Below are 20,816 nucleotides of genomic sequence, written 5' to 3'. Positions count from 1 at the left end.
GAGCTCATTTTGAACTGATTTTATTTAAGAATCTTGTCAGAGGTTTTTTTTTTTCATAAACGATTGATATATGTCTGCTGTCAGCCATGGAGGTCTAGAAATCTGGATTCATTTTAGTTCCCTTCAAAGTCCCCCTGGTTAAAGTTGAAGTCTTGGACTCAGGTCTCTGACCTTGCCTTCCACACAGGGATTAATCTCTTTATCACAGCATTGACATTTTCCCTCAAGAAAACTCTGCCTTTTACATGTGAATTTCAGTTTGCTGAACTTTTTTTTTTTTTTGGCCACATTTGGCCATGGAAATTTCTCTTACTTTCTAGGGAGCCCAGGAATGCATTAAGAATTCTGTTTGTTGTAATTAGTGCAGGATCCAGTGGGAGGGCTTTTCAGAGTTTATCGGCGCCTTACTGCCAGGCACAGAAATAGTACACAAAAATCTATACTTTAACTGAGCCCCTTTAATAGGAACAGGTCAGGACAGATCTGCCAGGGCATTTGGACCGTGAGGGCTGGGGACAAGGCAGGATCCTGGATGCTGAGGTGATTCAGATGTGGGTCTTCCTGAAGGGAGAGAGGCACTTCCTGGATGAGGTCAACATTGAGGGAAGGGTCAGATTGCAGGCTTGGATCAGATGGTCCTGAAGACGAAGGAGCAGAAGGTAGGACATGCCATGAGGGGTTTGCATCCCTGGAACTGGGCCAAGACAGTGGGGCTTCACGGCAATGGAGCTATTCTTCTTGGGGATCAGCTTTCTGCACAGTCCTGGGTGGAATACTTGGTTTACTGAGGCAGAGACCACCCAAATGAATGTGCTTCCATGGATACGGAAGAGACCAACTCAGTGTCTTTCTACTGGGCATTGCAGTAACCTGTGGGCATTCCAAGTCAGTGCATCAAGATTGCAGAAGAGAATGAGGTCAGCAGGGGCTGGAAGTCACACTAGACTTAATTCCTACACACCTTCGCACAAGCTGCTCCCTCTTCCTGGGATGACCTTTCCTCTATTTTTACTCTGATGGACTCCTAGGTCTCCTTCAAGGTCCAGCTCAGTGGTAACTCTTCAGTGGAGACTTCTCTAATGATCCCAGGGATTTGGTGGTTCTCTCTTCGGTGACCCACAGCACTTACTACATCCCTCTCTTATGGGACTTTTCACAATGACTACAATGTATCTTCTGCCCCTCCAACTTCATCCCTGGGCTCCTGGGCAGAACCACTCTTGCCTTCCCTCTTCTCTCCACAGGACTACTCATTTCTGCTTTTCATATTTGAGATTTGTGCATGGCTATGTTGTGAACTCCAGCACCAAGGATGCTAGAGAGCCTTGCAGCCTGACCTGCAGCCAATGGATTCAGTGTCCTCAATCCAAATTCTCAAGGAAAACTTAGGTTCTAGCCAGCTTGCCCCAAGAGCTGTCGTTTCTGGACCAGACACCAGAGAAAAGAGGGTGTTGTTAATCTGGCACTTAAATGGCAGTGCAGGACAGTATTGGGGGTGGCCTCAGAGCAGGGTGTAGTCAGGGAGGCCACAGCGGACATTCCTAGTTGACAGAGGCACCACATGAGAGCCAGGGCCCCACCCTAGAAGAGGACTGTGGAGCACAAAGCAACATTTCAGCTCTCTCCTTGGGCTTCCCGGGGCAGCCTACAGGACCCAGGAGCTGAGCAGCTGGCCTGAGTGGACCCGGGTCAGGGAGGAAAGCCTGCAGGTTCTGTGTTCAGCAGGGCTCCACCTTGGCCTCTCTGCAGCCCACCTGTACCCACCTTCTAGAGGCTAAGTTCTAGTTCTCTCAGAGAGCAGCTGTGCAGGCAGCACCATGACTTGTCACAGAAGCATGCCCCTGACACTGGCCATAGCCCAGGGCTGTCCTAATCCAGATGTGTCACCAATGTCCTGCTGAGCTACTGGCCTCAGAACAGCTGAAGATGCTAATACAGCCAGCTCTGACTCTGGGCCCTCATCCTGGAGCACTTGAGTCTCTTTAGATCCAACTCCTGCTTATTGGGAGCTGCCTGGGGCAGGCCATGCACTGCCTGATGTTTAGACACTCACCTGTGGTGTTTATGAGGGTGGTGGTCATTTCCATCATTCAGATGGGCAGACCGAAACCCAGGTGGGGAAGGGGTTGTCTGAGACCACAGAGCTCATAAGTGACAGCACTGTGATTTGGAGAGTCTCAGGCCCACAGGTTCTGCATTCGAGTCCCACACTGCCTCTGAAAGGTGAGAACCCGAGGCCTTCAACCCTTGGCAATTACCCTTTTCAGCTCTTTTCTGTTCATTCATTAAAAAGAACATGTTTACTGAGCAAGGACTACATGCTAGACATAGGAATTGTGCAAGACACAAAGGTAAATCAAATGTGAATCTTGCTTTTACATTGCTCACAATCTATTATTTGCCAAGGTTACAAAGGAAATGCTGAAAATCCTTAAGACCCTTTGAGTAGACCCAAGCACTCATTCATATAGGACAAACCTGTTGTTTCTGCAGTGGCTCTGTAACAGCTCCGTGTTACCCATGGGCTCAAGTCCAGACTCCTTCCCGAGGCTCTCAGGCCCCCACCTCCCTGTCAAGCCTCTTCTTTGGTCACTCTCTCCCTTGTTTCAGCCATGCCACATGACTGTTTGTTCCCTGAAGGTGACTGCTCCTTCTCTGCTCTCTGCCTTAACACCTGCTATTTCCTGGAATGCCTTTCCTTCCTGATAACCCCCTCTGTCCTTGTGAAGAGCTCAGACATGCTCTCCTCTGTAAGGACACCACTGCTGTCACCTTCTAAAGACAGAAATCCACTCTCCCCTCTGATGCATCGCCACACCCTGCAAAGCAACTGCTGTGGGTGAAATGGTGGATTCCCAAAAGACACACCCACTCAGAACCTGTCAATGCAACCTTATTGTGAAAAGGGGTCTTGGTAGATAATATTAAGTTAAGGATCTTGAGTTTCAATCATCTTGGATTAGGGTAGGCCCAAGATCCAATGAGAAAAGGCAGAAGGAGATTTAACAGACACGGAGGGGAAGGCCAGGTGAAGACGGAGACAGAAGTCAGAGATGGAGATAGAGAGATCGCAGCCACCCGTCTACAAATCAGGGAACGCCAAGGATTGCTGATGGAAACCAGAAGCTAGGAGAGAGGCATGGAACTGATTGTTCCTCAGAGTTTCCAGAAGGAACCAGCCCTGCCAATGCCTTGATTTCAGACTTCTGGCCTCCAGAAGTGTGAGTGAATAAATTTCTTTTGTGTGAAACCACCAAGTTTGTGGCAATTTCTTATGGCTGCCTTAGAAAATGAATAGAACATTGTCTGAACAGCACTGCACTCATTCATTCACAGACCTGTTCCATCTGCTGGGTTGTGAGCACATCTTTGTACCCAGCCCAGCAGTCCATGACACATACTTGGTGCTTAATAAAAGTTCATTGCACTGAATTGCCAAAGGAAATTTTTCTGTAAGAAGTAATTGAAAAGGGATCTGCTTCATGAGGTCAAACTTTGCCAAGTAATAAATGAAATGGCCTGTTAGCACTGGCCTATGGGGACGAACTAGATTTGGTGGGTCAATTAATAAATCATCAAATGCCTCTGGCCCTGAGTCCACATCCAGATAGATGAGTGATGCTTGCTTGCTCCTCATTAAAGGATTTTAAGAACAAAGTCCATTTGGGAAAAGGAGGAGGTGTGTCCTACAGAAGCCACTTTTCCATGGGCCACGTGCGTGTCAGCCATGGGATGGGTTTAAGTATTTACACAGAGAAGTGGTTCCTCAGGAGGCTGAGTCCTAGGGCAGTGGAAGTTTGTTACAGGCCTTGGGAGCTTGGGGGATGCCTGTAGTTCTGTCCCCAGAATCTTGTACATTTCTTCTGTTAAATGATCCTTGGAATTTTCTTTGGGAAATCATTTCTCCTCGGATTTCAGCTCTGTTGTTTGGATGGGGATAAAACTGACCCCAGCCTAAACTACTCAACACAATGCATTCCTGAGGCCATGGTGATTGGTTTAGGGGTGGGCACATGACTCACACAGGGCCAATGAGATGAAAGACACTTTTGATGAGAATTCTGGGACAAAGGTCTGCGCTTTTTCTCTTTGGCTACAAAGCTGGATGCTTCCAGGTCAGAGCTATTGCTCAGGTTGTCAACTGAGATGTCTGAAAAAAAGGGCTGAAAGACAGAAAAATGAGTTCTGATGAAATGGTTTGAGCTCCAGTCAAGCTGAAGCTAAAACTATCCCCCACCCCCTGCCCCCAGACTTTTAGCTTTGTGAGCCAGTTAATTCTCTTTTCTTATTGTAGCTTGGGTTGGGGTTTCTTACATGTGTAACCAACAGTTAGAGTTCTGACTCTCATAAGGGTGATATGGTGAGTCCAATTCTTAAAATATCTAGGCAAGTAAAATAGCTTCGTATGGCGACATGGTATGGGCTTTCTAGTTGGGGAGTCTTGAATTCAAATTCCAACTCTATCCAGCTGTGTGACCTTGAGGAAAATATTTAATTTTTCTGAGCCTTATAATTTCTTATCTATGAAACAGAGACAGTACCTGTCTTTGGGGTTTATGTATACTAGAGATAGCACATGCAAGTCACTTGGCATGGTAACTGGCCAAATTCACCTTCTGTACATGGTTCCTTAAGAGGGGCATCACTCCTTTCTTTGCCCACTCTGACAATACCAATTATCCTCTGGACTTTTGGGTTGTCTTCTGTATTAGTCAGGGTTCTCCAGAGAGACAGAAGTAATATAATAGATGTACATATGAAAAGGAGTTTGTTACAGAGAATTGGCTCACATGATCACAATTCCCATGATAGGCCGTCTGCAAGCTGAGGAGGTAGCAAGTGAGTTGTGGCTCAGTCCGAGTCCAAAAACCTCAAAAGTAAGGAAGCTAACAGTGTAGCCTTTAGTCTGTGGCCAAAGGCCTGAGAGCCCCCAGCAAACTACTAGTATAAGTCCAAGAGTCCAAAGGCTGAAGAGCCTGGAGTCTAATGTCCAAGGGCAGGAAGTATCCAGTATAGGAGAAAGATGAAAGCCAGAAGACTCAGCAAGCCAGCTTATCCCACCTTCTTCTGTCTGCTTTGTTCTAGCTGCACTGGCAGCCGATTGGATGGTGCCCACGTGCATTGAGGGAGAGTGGGTCATCCTCTCCCAATCCACTGACTCATATGTCCATCTCCTCTGGCAACACCCTCACAGACACACCCAGAAACAATAATTTACCAGTTATCTAGGCATCCTTCAATCCAATCAAGTAGACATCTAATATTAACCATCACATCCTCAGAGGCATTTCTACATTTTTTGATTTGAGACATAACAGATCTTTTTATTAGGTTGTTTACTTTTAATTATAAAGGCAATAAATGCTCATTGAAGAAAATAAGAAAATTTAGAAATGGGAAGAAATAAAAATCATCCTATGACTAACAGTTAATCACATTTGCTATATTTAATACTTAGGTTGTTTATAACACAAGTTTTTGGTTTGACAGAGGTTATACTTCCCACTTCCCTTGGTATGAAGTATTCAAAGGTTACTGAGGTGGTCATGAAGAAATCAGCATAAGAATTATGGAGCTTACTGAGAGAGGAAGAAAGGATGGAGAAGCTGACCATATTCCATTTTGAAAGCTTCTGGAGATGATACCAACTGAGATTATGGGGAGGAAGGGACACTGTATTAGATTCTGCTGCTAATTTCAGAGATCCAAATAAGCGATAGCTTAAAATAATAAAAAAGGAGGAGGAGGAAGAGAAAGTGTTATTTTGCTCTCAGGCAGCTTCACATGGCCTCACACAGATGTGCACTGCCCCTGTCCATGGCTGTGACAGCATCTTAGATGGATGGTTCTAGGGAGAGGAAAGGATGAAACAGTGGGCCTCTCAAGTGTGATTGGCACCAACTTGGGCCTGGTAAGCTATGCATGGCTGGTAAGGCATTTCTGCTCCTCTTAAGCAACTCCTAGCTCATGCCTCTCCATCTCTAGAATATGGTCCTCATTCTCATGATTCAAATGGCAACTAAAGCTTTACACAGCATATCTGCATTCCAGAAAACAAGATGGAGGAAGGGATAAATAAATAGGGCAAAGGGTATATCCCAGCTTCCTTTTAAGAAAGGTTTAAGGAAGCTGTAACCATTTTGCTTGCATCCCATTGGCCAGAACTTATCCTGCCTGCCCGCAGGGGAGTATGCGCGATGTAGTCTTTCTTCAGGATACTAAAATACAGAAGTTACATTACCATGGAGGAAAGGGGAACCCCACCAGGGCAAGGGGTGACTGATCTGTTGGCCATCGCTCCTCATTACAGCTGATACTGCCCTGGGGAAAGGTCGTGGGGCACAGTGTGAGGCTGGCTCAGGAGCCTCTCTTGACCACCCAGCCCAGCCCTAAGAATTTTCTTTGGGATTAATCTCTCTGCTAGTGACAGTAAAGAGCTCAGGCCCAAGTTGGTGGCAATCATGATTGAGAGGCCCACTCTTTCATCCTTTCCTTTCCCTAGAACCATCTATCTAAGATGCTATCACAGCCATGGACAGGGGCAGTGTAGGTCTGCGTGAGGCCATGTGAAACTGCCTGTTTCTAATAACAACTCTGTGAGGCTGCAAACTGCCCTTGTTCTCTACTTCTTTCTCCTTGGATGGCCCTGGGGACAATGTTGGGGCAGGAAGTGATGGTTAGCAGAGTGATCTGGCCAAGGCTTCCCCTGAATGGGCTGCAAGTGAGTCTCTGGCTACTGAAAACACTGATACACTAGCTCAAGATGACACACGGTGAGAAGGATGACAGGACTGAATTATATGTGTGAACATCCCTGGGAGTGCAATTCTTCCTGACCCCGGATAGGAAGTGAAGGACAATCTCACAGTGGCAAGATGGGAGTGTGGGTTATGTTAATGGGGTTATTAGGAGAAATGTAACGGTGTGAAGAACATACTGTGTATATATAAAAAAAACCATTTTCCAGCATAGTTCATGTATTGTTCTTTTACAATTTAATATATCCAAATGTTTTCTCTTACAATCTGAAAATAGTGAGTTTCCTTTAGGGGTCCATATCTTGTTTATCTTTCTTTATATATATATATTTTTAAATTATACTTTAAGTTCTAGGGTACATGTGCACAACGTGCAGGTTTGTTACATATGTATACATATAAGACAGATGCCTATTTCAGTGCCTGGCATATGGGAACTAATGAACATGTATTTATTGAACTGACCTGACATTGTCATCTAATCATCGCCTATATATCTCACAGAATTTTTGTGCTATAATTTATTTAATCATTTCCCCTTTTTTAAGATGTTAGATTATGTATTATTTGTACAACATTTTGCTAATATAGAAAACACTATGAAGGACATTTTTGTACAAAAGCTTTCGATCTTTAAGATGATTTTATTTGTGTAGATTAACAAGAGGAGGATTCCCAGGCCAACGCATAGATGAAACAAACTTTCTCAGAGCTACCTGGATCTTAGGAGGAAAGACCAATGGGAGGAAGGAAGGGGAGGAAGAATTTTCCTAATGGAACTTAATTTTTACCATGAAGAGAGAGAGAGAAAGAGATTCAGAGTAACCTAATGACAGTCTCATACTCTGCATCACCTAAAAATATTATCCTCTTAATTTTATGAGAAATAAGATTACATCAAACATATACTTAGAGCATTGGCAGGGTTTGTTTTTTTGCCACACCTATAACCTTGTTCTTGGTGCACTAGCGTGGTGTGGAGAAGAGACTGAGCTGAGCGCTAGCTCTCAAGTGTGATTCTCTCCCTGTTTGGCAAAGGGCAGGGTGTGCACATGCAAATAGAATCAAATTAGTGTCTAATGACTCCTACAAGACAAACTCTCTGAGGAAACTCTTAAGCTGGGCATGGGGTTGCTTTGTCATTCACTGGTTTTGGCCTTGTACTCTGGTTCAGCTTGATGGATGGAAGATCCCAGAATGTCTGCCTTTGAGTGATCTGTAGTTGGCTGAATACCCAGAGGATGGAGCTCTCACCGTGTTGCTTAGTAATCTCTCTTCCTAGCTCTGTGATGTACTTCAGTCATCAGGTCTCATCTGATTAATTTCCGAGTCACAATTCATTGTCCCTTCTGCCTGGAGACAAGTAAAAAGTAAAAGCAGTGTGGGTTCCACATGAAACCATGAAACCATGAAGGCTTTTTTTTTTTTTAAATAAGGCAGGGCCTCACTCTGTCACCCAAGCTAGAGTGGAATGGCACATTCTCGGCTCACTGCAACCTCCACCTCCTGGGTTCAAGGGATTCTCCCACCTCAGCCTCCTGAGTAGCTGGGACTACAGACGTGTGTCACCACACCCAGCTAATTTTTGTACTTTTAATAGAGATGGGGTTTCACCATGTTGGCCAGGTTAGTCTCGAACTCCTGACCTCAAGTGACCCACCCGCCTCGGCCTCCCAAAGTTTGGAATTATAGGCGTGAGCCACCGTGCCCAGCCTCAACCACAAAGCTCTTCTGAAGCAACATTGAATCTACTGCATTCAGTGGGTCAGAGGAGGCTTTTGAAATGTCTCACTGCCAGGGACTCAGGGCTCATGCTTACTCTGCAAAAACTTGAACCTATCTTGAACAATGGGCTTTTCCCCAGTCCCTACCCACCCACATTCACTTATTAATCAATGATTTAATACAATGTCCCGGGCAGTGTGCTAGGCTGGACAGAAGGGTTTTGAGAATCAGTGATTAATCCAACATCATTAAGTACCTACTCCCAGCTGGGTGCTGGAGGAATAAAGAGGAAGAAGACCGATAATTTGCCTTCAAGCTCTGACAACCTGGCAGAGGAGCAAACATGAGAATATAAAAGAACAGTTGGGTATTCTCAGACCTCTGATGATGGAATGGACCCAGGATAACCCACAGGAGGGGTAGCTGTTTAAGTCTTGGGATGGTGGAGGAGAGGGGTTAAGAGGGCTCCATCAAGAAAAGGATACTCAAGTTGGGTCTTTTTTTTTTTTTTGAGACGGAGTCTTGCTCTGTCGCCTAGGCTGGAGTGCATTGGCACGATCTCGGCTCACTGCAAGCTCTGCCTCCCGGGTTCACACCATTCTCCTGCCTCAGCCTCCGGAGTAGCTGGGACTACAGGCGCCCGCCACCACGCCCGGCTAATTTTTCCTATTTTCTCGTAGAGACGGGGTTTCACCATGTTAGCCAGGATGGTCTCAACCTCCTGACCTCGTGATCTGCCCACCTCGACCTCCCAAAGTGCTGGGATTACAAGCGTGAGCCACTGCACCCGGCTGTCAAGTTGGGTCTTGAAGGAGGAGCTGGTGTTTATTGCATGGATGGGTAGGAGGAAGAGGAGGGAATTGAATGGCAGAGTGAGCAGCCTAGGTGAGTTTTGCAGCATTTGTGGGGTGTGGGAGTGATGCAGATAGGGTATGAGGAAAGAAAAGAAAGGAGGGGGGGATGCTGGGAAGACTGAAGAGGGTCTTCTGGGCCAGACTAGGAATTGGGAGAGGCAGGAGCAGTAGGAATGAGACTTGGCCACCCTCACCTATGTTCTGAGTCATTGGAAGCTTTGTAGCACCTTGTTAAGCTCTCACAAAGAAGAGGAGTTGTGATATGAAGGGGTCCCCTAGAGCCACTGATGCCAGCTCAGGGAAACCAGGAGGCTGGGTTCCTGGCTTTGGACATGACGGCTGCAAAAGGACGTTGGGGCTGTGAGGTCAGCTGGTAGGGTAGCGGGAAGGGGCAGTTCTTGTGGTCTGAGGGACTAATGGTGTGTCCAGGGAGCTGTAGGTAAGTCCAGGAATGGAGGTCTGTGGGGTCTTCTGCTTTGCAGAAGCCAAGACAAGCCCACAAAAGGAATAATCCCATCCCCATCAGCCTCACCCCACCTGGCCAGCCTTTTGGATTTAAAGGGCCCCTGCCAGTGCCTGACTGAGCTCCTTCACTCTAGCAGGTACTATTAAATGCGGACTTTGGACCTGGGTTTGAATTCTAGTACTATGGCCTCAGTCTTCTCATCTATAAAATGGGAATAGCATTAATATCAGTTTCAAAGTGCTGTGATAATTAAGTGGTTAAATGGTAGGTGCCTGGAAGACTCTGAGGGTCCTGGTCTCAGAGGGGTGGGCAGAAGGCTGGAAGCAAAGATGACTGCCTAGGAGTCAGCAACAGCCACATCCCTTTGCCTGCCCCATCCGCCCTCGAGGGCCAGCCTGTGAGGAGCTGGCAGTGCCAGGGCCCTGAGTGCTGCGGGCTGTGCTGATTGAACGGCCTCCTTCACTAATCAGGCTATTGCTGTGGAGTGCAGTAGCGGGGCCTGGAATGCACTCTGCTAATCAGTGTGCATTCTTAACTGTTGCAGTTGAATATTTTAACTAGAGCTCTCCTCCCCTGGGCTGATTGAGGCACAATCCCTGTCTGCCTGGGATAGGGGTTGCCAGGGCAGAGGGCCAGGAAGCAGAAGAGACAGGCTTGTGTTTGAGGATTCTAGGCAGGAAAGTGAGTTCCAGATGAGTAATGCATTCACCTATTTCCTTTTAACTCAGACATCCAAGTGGCCAGTCACTCTGCGTGGGTCTATTACCTGTGGGTAGGTAGCTAGTTATCTATCCATCCAACTACCCACCCATCCATCCACCCACCCATCCATCCACCCACCCTCCCATCCAGCTATCTATCCACCCACCCATCCATCCATCCATTTATTTTCCTCCCTCCCTCCATTCCTTCCTTTCTTCCATTCTCCAGGTTCTTGTGGCCCCTCTTTCCTTTACCATTCAAATATGATGCCAGAGCCTTCACCATGCCTGACCAGAGGGCATCTCAGCCCCACCTGAATTTTCTGAAGCTTTCTGGGGAGTGTTGACCTGCAGCCATTGCTGCTCGACACCTCTGTCTGTGAGCTATAGGCCTGGGCTTCTTCTGCATGCTCTATCGCTGTCCCTGCTTCTGTGGACCCTTCCCTTTTCTCCCCGTGTTTGCCCCAAGTATGGACACAGGAGCTTCCTTTACTCTCCACGTCTCCAGTGACACAAAGTTGTCATGAGTCATGGACTGTATTGAGGATATTCTAAGAGAATGGCAACACAGAGAAGGAAAACTTAAAATTACACCTTTTATGACAAAGTTCCCAAGGCCTACTATTTATGGCCCATCACAAGGAGCCCTTTCACCTCCTTCTCCAGGTCCTAGTGGCCTCCATCTCCAGGCAGGGGCCAAGGAGGGGCACTGCTGCTTCCACTCAACTCAGGGTCTTCTCTCATCTGGGCCCAAAGCCATGGAACTTCTACCTTCCTACTCATCAGGAAGAAGAAAACAGAACAAAAATGAAAAACTGCCACTCTTTTAATATTTTAAAAAAAAATTAATGGCAGGGCGCAGTGGCTCATGCCTGTAATCCCAGCACTTTGGGAGTCTGAGGTGGGCAAATCACTTAAGGTCAGGAGTTCAAGACCAGTCTGGCCAACATGGTGAAACCCCGTCTCTACTAAAAGTACAAAAATTAGCTGGGTATGGTGGTGGGCACCTGTAATCCCAGCTACTCAGGAGGCTGAGGCAGGAAAATGGCTTGAACCCAGCAGGTGGAGGTTGCAGTGAGCCAAGATCATGCCACTGCACTCCAGCCTGGGTTACATGAGGGAGACGCTGTCTCAAAATAAATACATACATACATACATACATACATACATACATACATACATACATACAATTAAGGTACAAATACATACACGCCCTTATTCATAGGGCAGACTCTTAAGTTTGGCCCTGAATTTCCTTAACATGCACTTTTAGAGTAAGCCTGCAGCCTTGCCTTTATAAAACTGAGAGGCCTGTTATAGTTTTCTTTCTCCCAAGAGAAGAGCAGTCTTTCCCCAAGAAGAATTTCCCAAGTCTCTCTAGTTTACAAAACTGACTGGATCTTCTTGGTTTTATCCTGGTATATACTCATGCTTTTATGTGTACTCCAATGTAGTCATCTTTTATTTTTTAATTTAGACAAACAGTTGTTTATTGTGTACCTTTTAAGGCCCAGGCTCTGAGCTGGACACTGACGATACAGCTGTAAATAAAACAGATGCCTGTGTCTTTCTGGTGCTAACAGTAGAGTGGAAGAGAAGATAAAAAATGAATGTATAATACACAATCAACAGAAATAAGTGCTAGAAGGGGAAAAGACATCTGAGCAGGCTTCTATATACCTATTTATTTATTCATTTGTCTATTTTTGCTCATTCATTCCTCCCTCCAGTCATCAGCAAATACTGACTGAACACTTGCAATCTGTCTGACACTATGCCAGGCGCTGGAGACCAAAATATAAAAATCGCCTTGACCATTTATTCAAGGTACATACAGCTTGGTAGGTGGAAGGAAACAGATACATAGTTAACAATAGTGCAGGGAAGCTGAAACTAGAACAGAAAGATGGTTGTCAATCAGTGGAAACTACAGGACAAAATAGTCACTGTGTTTGGAAATCTAGAGAAAGGCTTCCTGGAGGAGGGGTCATTTGATCAGGACCTGAAGGATGGATAGGAGTTTGCCAGGTGAAGAGGAAGGTACTGGCATTGCAGAATGACAGAAGAGCAAGCAGTGAGATCTGGGGGCTAAATAGAACGGGGTGGAGTTGCTAGTGGCCAGAGAGTGTGTGCAGGGAAGAGGGGAAGTGGCAGATGAGGCTGGCAGTTTTCCAGGCTCTTAGAAAACTCCCCTGGAGAAGAGCTTGACAGCTACACCTGCAAAAGAGGTATCAGAAAGGGGCCAGAGCTGTAGAAGACATCAGGCAGGAGAGGAAAAGGCTGGCTTTATGGGGAGGAAGAATGGAACAATTTTGGCAGCATTTGGAGGCCCCCAACCTCTGTACTTGATACCTGCTGGGGTGTGTTTGGCTTCTATATGAGAAGCCTGTTGCTGCAGAGTAAATTCTCCCTGGTTGCCTGCACTTACCTCCCAGTGTGTTAATGAGTGCAGAGCTTCAGGAGATGCCAGAGCCTGTTATTTAGTATTTGTCGAGTGGAGCTGCAAGGCCAGGTGGAGGCACTGTCAGTTAAGAGACAAGGATGCTCCCGCCAGGCCTGGCACCTGGCTCTGCTAGACCAGCCATAAGCCTGGGGAAGAGAGAACTCAGTGAAGAGAGGAGGCAAGGAGCTCTGTTTAAGAGGAAAGTGAACATGTGGACTGAAGACCAGGGAAGGAAGTGTTCTGAATATGGCAAGTTGGTTCCCAGGATTCTTGGGAACACCCAGGGGAGTAGCTTCTGCGGCAAGATGGTAGTGTGAAGTATTAACCTTTGCATTTTGACCCTAGGACCTTCCCTCTTCTGGGTGGCTAGACATGAAAGAATGCTTCCTAGGCATTTTTTTTTTCCACCTGAAAAGAGATTAAAGCAAAGCAAAACAAAAATTTTCCTTGCGCTGGAAAAGAAACAGCTGGAGCACATACTAGAGTAGCATCTAGGCTGCTGAAACAAAGAGGGTTAAAAATAAAGTGTCATTAAAAAGATGGAGGTTATCTTATTCTAACTTAACAATCATCAAGTGAGCATCACCATCCAGGTCAGCAGGTGGTTCTACTCCACAAGAACTCTCAAGGACCTAGGTTCCCTCCATCCTGATGCCCCACCATCCCTTAGAATGATAACCCATAGGGCCAAAAGTGGATTACAAACACATCCATGTTCTAGCTAAAGGGAAGAGGAAGAGTGCATTGGTAGATTATATATTATTTAACAAATTTTAACTTCCTTTTGGTTCAGCTTAACAGGTTGGGTAAACTTCCCTGCTCTAGCTCTACATCTAGGCCCGAAGAGGTATCATGAGTTTCTGTTTGATCCTTTGGAAGCTTCTGACCTCAGATATGAGCAAAACCTGCCCAAGGTAGCTGCTATTTCTGGAGCTGTGGTGCTAGAATGAAACATGTGGAACTGACCTGAACTCAACCCCTAACCAGGAACATAGCAGCTACTCAAAAGCCTGCAGACCTGTGAATAAGAAATAGATACTTTTGTTTATTTGCTTCTGAGTTTTGAGTGATTTTATGCAGTATTATTACAGCAAAAGCTGATTGATACAAAGTACAAATTGAGGGCAAGCAATTTTCATTTAAGCAAGCATGAGTGAAAAAATAATTTTCTTTCATATTTTACTAATCATATGACCACAAATAGCTGCAAGGGAGGTTGAAAAATAGAGTCTGTAGTTCAACAATCATATGCCCAGTTTAAGAGAAGATAATATAGATGGATGGCAAATACACATATGAATTAAACCTGCAATGAGATGTTACTACTCTACCACTAGGATGGCTAAAATTAAAAAGGCTGTTCGCTCCATGTGTTGGTGAGAATATAAAGCAACTAGAATTCTCATACACCACTTGTGGGAATGTAAAATGTATAGCCATTTAAAACAGTATCTTGGCAGTTTCTTTCAAGGATAAACATACAGCTACTGCATGATCCAGACAATCTAATTCTACATATTTACCCAAGAGAAGGAAGCATATGTCTACTTGTATATACATATAGCAACTTTATTTGTAATAGCCCTGCCTTAGTCCATTTGGACTGCTACAGCAAAATATACTAAACTGAGTGGCTTACAAATGACAGAAATTTATTTCTCACAGCTCTGGAGGCTGGGAAGTCCAAGATCAAGGCACCAGCAGATTCAGTGTCTGGTGTGGGCTCTCTGCTTCACAGACCACACTTCTTGTTCCATCCTCACATGGTGGAAGGGGGTGAACGCTGTGTATCCTTATATAAGGGTACTAATCCCATTCATGATGGTGGAGCTTTCATAACCTAATCCCTTGCTAAAGGTCCCATCTCTTAAAACTATTGCATTGGGGATTAAGTTTCAACATTTGAATTTGAACATTCAAACCATAGCAAGCTCCAAACTGGAAATAATTCAAGTTTTCCTTCAACAAGTGAATGAATAAAGCAAATTGTGGTATATTCACATAATGGAATACTACTCCATGATAAAGAAGAATGAACTCTTGGTATACGCAACAAGAGGGACGAACTTCAAAATAATTATGGTGAGTGTACCAAAAAGAGTACATATTGCATTATTCCAATTATATAAGATGTTAGAAAATTCAATCCAATGTCTAGTAACAAAAAAGCGTATTAGTGACTTCCTGGGCATGAGGGAGGCTGAGGAGAAGGGAAGAACTACAAAAGGGCAGAAAGAAACTTCTGGAGTGATGGCTATGATCACTGTTTTGATTGTGGTAGTAGTTTCATGGGTGTGTCCATGCATCCAACTCATCAAATTGTGTACTTTATTGTATATGTGCAGATTGTTGTATGTAATTAATACTTCAATAAAGTTGTAAAACAAAACAAACAAAAAGCTCTTTCTATGAAAGGAGAGGAGAGTGGATTTTGGCAGACAATGGACATTCTACCAAACAGGGGAGAGGAGGTATTTGGATGCTGGTGAAGGGGATTTCTGAAAATAATCTGGGGTCCTCCATGGGGCCAATTCTTCCCCTTTCAGACAGGGTTAGATGTCAGAGAGTAGGAGAGAGCTATGCCCCATCCTGCATAGATCCCTTGGAGGCAGAAGCTGTATTCCACTTATTCCAGAGAAGCAAGAGCAAAGATGACATACCCCACTAGGAAAGAGGACAGTGATCGCAGCCACCAAGAGCTTGAGACAGCCTCTCTGTCTTCTCCTGCCCCACTATGACTAGAAAACAAGCAGGTCTGTAACAGCTCCAAAAGGGTATCTTAATTGAGGTCCTCCAAGAAGTAGATGCCAAAATAGAGGCAGTAGTGAACTGTACCCTGAACCCTCATTTCCCTGGAGCCTAAGCTCACAGCATTCAGCTTTAGAGTTTGGGGGCGGGTGCTCAGATGGATGGAGCAAGAAGAGGAGGCTCACCTGTGTTGTGCACTAGTGTCAAGACTCTCAACACTTAATTAGGGTCCCTCTTATGCTGAGGCAGACAGAAAGGCTTGCCAGACCTGTTTCTTTACTCCTATTGTGGGCAAGGTGCTCCGCCATACCCCTTGATTCTAGATCACTTGCTTTGGCCAATGGTATGGGAACAAATGTGATGCCTGCAGAAGCTTCACAAGCTCTGTGCACTAGGGCTTGCTCTCTTGCCACCTTGATCCTTGCTCTTTTATAGTCTCATGAGAACATGCCCAGATTAACTTGCTAGAGGGACATGAGAGACCGGAAGAGTAGACCACAGTCATTCCAGCTGAGGGGTAGACCAGTCAGGTCCCTGCAAATCACTAACTCACTGCAGATGCATAAGTGAAGTCAGCCCAAATCATCCCAGTCTGACCCAGATCTTCAAAAATGTCTAGCCAACCCACAGTTTGATAAGAAATAATAGATGGGTGTTGTTTTAGGTCACTACATTTTGGGGTGGTTTGTTACAAACCATAGCTAACTGTCAGGGTGTCCAAACTTCTGGGCCACACCCCTGTCTTGATTCATCCACTCAACTGTCAATACAGTCGTCCTCCTTTATCCTCGGGTGTTGCGTTCCAAGACCACAGTGGATGCTTGAAACCAAAGACAGTTCCAAACCCTGTATGTATATAGAGATTGTCCCTAACTTACGATTGTTCAACTTAGGATTTTTTAACTTGACCATAGTGTGAAAGTGATATACAGTCAGTAGAAACTGTAACCCCATCTTAAGTAGAGGAGCATCTGTTTTATTTTTTTCCCACACATACATACATATCTATGATGAAGTTTAATTTCTAAATTAGGACCAGTTAGAAATGAACAATAACTAGTAATACAATGGAAAAATTATATTGTGATAAAATTATGTGAATATGCTGTCTCTCTTAAAATTCTTATTGTATTGTACTCACCTATTTTCAGACCATGGTTGACCATGAATAACTGAAACCTTGGATAGCAAAACTGGAGATAAGACAAGACTACTGTACTTATTCTAAACAATGCTGTCCCTTGTCTTGGCCTGGTCCTGAACTTCTGAACAGCAGGGACCAGAAAAGACCTGGCCCCACTTGCACCCCTCTTCCTCCTCTCGGTTAAGGTGGGGGCCAGCTGGCTCAATGTGCCCCACTCCAAAGGAAGCCAGCATCATGAAGAAGCAGGGAAGTGGCAGGGACGCGATTCCACTCAGGGAAACGAGAAGCTTGATTACTACTCAACATTTGCAGTACCCAGATACTCTAATTAAGAGAAAAGGTCAATAGGTTAAATAAGCAACTTAATCAGAAAATTATGCAAAGTGCCACAAATCAAACATATTACACAGCCCTTGAGATCGATACAGTATGCAAATCGATCACCCAAGATCAGGACAATTCAGAAACTGGAAGGTACAACTCAATCAAGGGGGTTCAGGAAACCCAGACTGAGCTGGAGAATGCTGGGGGCCTGGCACTAGAAGTAGGCGGCAGACACCAACACCCCTGGGGAGCACGAGCAGCAAGGGAGGTGCAGTCTCTTCTCAGGCTCCAGAAGGGTCCAAGGGCCATGAGTTTCTCATCTGTAGAAGGGGGGCTGCAATATAGTGCACAGTATGGGTCAGGGCCTATGGGCCTAGCTTGAGTCCCACCTCTGCCTCTGCCTAACTGTGTGGTTTGGGGCAAGCCACTTAACCTTCTTCTGGTCTTCATTCATACAACAGAGACACACATTCCAGCCTTTCAAGTTATTGTGTATGTGTGTGTGTGTGTGTGTGTGTGTGAGAGAGAGAGAGAGAAGGAGTGAGAGAGACAGGGAGAGAGCTAGGAGTGTGTGGGTTTGCGGCCATGGGTCCAGTGAGGATCCCTTCCTCTCTGCCACTTGCCTTTCTTCTCACAAAGCCCTGCAGCTAGAACACTTGATCAGTGCCCTTTAAATTTAGGACAGTGGCTTTCCACTGAGGGTGGTATTTGGCATATCTGGAGATATTTTGGGTGTTATAATCAGTGGGGTGGGGGTGTGCTACTGACATCTAGTGGGTAGAGGCCAGGGATGCTCCTCTACAATCTGTAATGTACAGGGCAGCTCCCACAACAAATAATTGGCCAGCCCAAAATGTCAGAGGTGCTGAGGTTGAGAAATTCTGAGTTAGGAGGATTGGATAGCTTGTGAGCGAAAGAGAAGGGTGGCTGAGGCAGCCAGAGCATAAAAGGTGGTAGGAGCCCTCTGCAGTGATCACAGAAGCTACAGACACTGCCTGTCAGGGCTTCAGGAACCCCTGAGGGACCCCTAACTTGTGCTGACCTTCAGTGGAACTTCCCGGGAGACCCAGTGAGAGGAAAAAGCACACTCAAAGAAGAGAGAGTTTGCTCACCGCAGTCCTGCCTGCTGGGGCGCAAGACGGCGTTTCCCGGCCTAGAGACTCAGGCCTGGCCTGGCCCCAGTAAGGGCGAGGCCACAGCAGGGAGACTGCCCTGGTCTGGCATTCCCTTGAAGCCTGAAGGAATGTTGGTATAAATGGACCCTTATTTGGGCTTGTTTTCATCCCCCAGGAGTGGTGCAGCTGCCTGTCTTTTCCCAGGCTTTCCTGCTGCTCAAGGGAGGGCAGTGGAACCTTGGGGACCATCCTAGGCCTGGTGTGGAGGGAAGAGCACCTGCTCTTCACCTGGGCTACAGAGGGGAAGGTCTTGGGGCCCTGTCACTCTGCAGGGGCCTGTGCTGGTGCTAGGGGTCTGTGGAAAGGAAGAGGTGGGTGTTTGCCTCTGAAACTTTCTCTGGGCACTCAGGTCCCCTGAGGAGGTTTTCCACCTGGGGGTGGAGGGTTGAGCTAGGAGTCCCTGTGGGACCTTGAGAGGACAGAAAGCTGGAGAAGACCAATTAAGGTTTCTTTGGGGCAGAAGGCAGGGTACATGCTGGGCACAGAGTCTGTGGGGCGGGGAGGGCAGTTCTCTTCCTCCCAAGGAAGCTGCCAGTGTCTTGAGTTTCATCCTGTCAGGTCTTGAGACCCAGGGCCTCTGAGGTCAGAGGATGTCACTGAAGACTGAGGCCATGCCTCATGCCATGCGGTTCAGGGCTAGGGAAAAGAGCAAAAGGGATGGTCAGGGCCCATCAGGCATCTGTCCCTTTGTCTCCTTTCTCAGGACTGTCAGCAGTCATCTCAGGCATGGAAACTTCCCTTTCCTAGTTCTCCAGTCACATACAATTGGAGCCATCATGAAGTCCTCCCTAGTTGAGCATTGGGAGAAACTAAGGCCCATAAATGTTTAAGGTCTTGACCAAGGCCATACAGTGAATTAATGGCAGAGCCAAAAATGGACCCTGGGTCTCCTGACATGAGTTTAACACCAGAGTGTGGCAATTTCATGGCTGTCCCTGCTCATGAAAAACACCCTTCCAGAAAGGCCTGTATTCATTATCTACTGCAGTGTGACAAATTACCCCAAGCATGTATTATCATCACACAGTTTCTGTGGGTCAGGAAGCCAGGCACAGCTTAGCTGTGTCCTCCCAAGGTTTCGAGTTCTCTCACAAGGATGCTGTCAAGGTATCAGCCAGGGCTGCAGTCATCGTCAACCTGACTCTGGGGAATCTGCTTCAGAGCTCACTCACATGGCTGTTGACAGATCTTAGGTCCTCGCTGGCTGCTGGCCAGAGACATCAGTTCCTTGCCAAGAGGCCCTCTCCAGAGGAAATCTTGCAACATGGCATCTGGCTTCCCTCAGAGAGAGAGGTGGAGAGAGTGAGATCAAGTAAGACAGGGTGAGCAAGATAGAAGTAGAATCTTTGGGTAACCTAATCTTGGAGTGACAGTCCGTCATTTTTGCCATGTTCTATCTGTTAGAAGTGAGTCTCTAGGTCCAGCCCACACTCGAGGGGAGGGGATTACTAGGGCACAGATTCCAGGAGGCAGTGATCACTAGGGGCCTTTATAGAGCCTGCCTGCCACAGACATCAACCCAGCAGTGGAAAAGGAGGCCCATGGCCTGGGGTGTGCCTTTGGCTTCTCCCCTTCTTGAAATAGTTCATTCACTTCCAGACTCTTAGGGGAAATCCCAATAAAGAAGACGATTTAAAGGGAGCTGGAGTGGGAGAGGATTCCCTTCTTCCCTCCATGGCTCCAACTTCACGTCCAAAATCTCAGCCTAGATGAAGTCCAAGTTTCTTTCTAGTTGTACCACTTTGATTTAAACTCATCAAACACAGGCAAAAGCATTTGGTTGTGGGTCAGAAATGTCAGGTTCTAGTCCTAGTTTTAGGAATTCTAGGAGTCACTTTGTTCACAGATTTTTTCCTCTATACAAGCAGGAGCCCAAGCTAGGGGATTTCTGACTGCAGGTTCTCCTGTGCTGAAACTTTCTCCTACTCAAGGGACAGAAAACTCCCACATGCCTGCCTTCCCTCTGCCCTTCATGGAATTTCACACCTGGAAGAAGCCTGTGTGCAGGGGAGGGGTTGTTGAATTCCTTAAGGTGTCTGGAAAAAGAGAGAGAGAGAGCCAAAGAGGAAGAGGGGAGGGAGCATTAGCAGCCCCGGCGCTTCACCAACATGGCGTCCGGCAACTGCCGGAACTAGTCACAGCGCCTAGGCCCCCAGAAAGTCAGGGAGGGACCATGGCAGGAGTGAGGCAGCCTGGACAGCTATAAGTGGATGGCCCATTTGGGAGCCTGGGCCTCTGTCCCTGATGGGGGCCTTACAGAAGGCAGAGGGCTGTCCAAAATGACCACCTCCCGGGATCTGGTTCTTTGAGCCGCTCTTCCGACCTCTGCCTCTGCCCAGTGTGAGCCTTTCCTGCTCTAATTCCTCGCCCACACTTTGCCCTGCACTCACCCTTGGCCTCGGGGCTCCACACCAGCCCCATGGGCGGGTTCAGTGTGTCCACAGACTTTGGGGGACGGTGTCACCCAGTGCTGGGAGA

The 20,816-nt window shown here is 46.5% G+C and overlaps 1 long non-coding RNA gene across 1 annotated transcript; it reads right to left on the bottom strand.

Annotated features, from left to right (window-relative positions):
• Window positions 1-6,978: 6,978 nt before the first annotated feature.
• On the bottom strand, window positions 6,979-20,462 carry LINC02682 (long intergenic non-protein coding RNA 2682). The gene is made up of 3 exons (NR_183670.1): window positions 20,325-20,462; window positions 19,511-19,609; window positions 6,979-8,111 (listed from the first exon to the last, which is right to left on the bottom strand). It is a non-coding gene; the product is annotated as a long intergenic non-protein coding RNA 2682 (long non-coding RNA).
• Between the last annotated feature and the right edge of the window lie 354 nt (window positions 20,463-20,816).

The sequence above is a fragment of the Homo sapiens genome, chromosome 11 (genome assembly GCF_000001405.40).
Source record: "Homo sapiens chromosome 11, GRCh38.p14 Primary Assembly".
NCBI lineage: Eukaryota > Metazoa > Chordata > Mammalia > Primates > Hominidae > Homo > Homo sapiens.
This window is presented reverse-complemented; position numbering and strand designations above follow the sequence as displayed.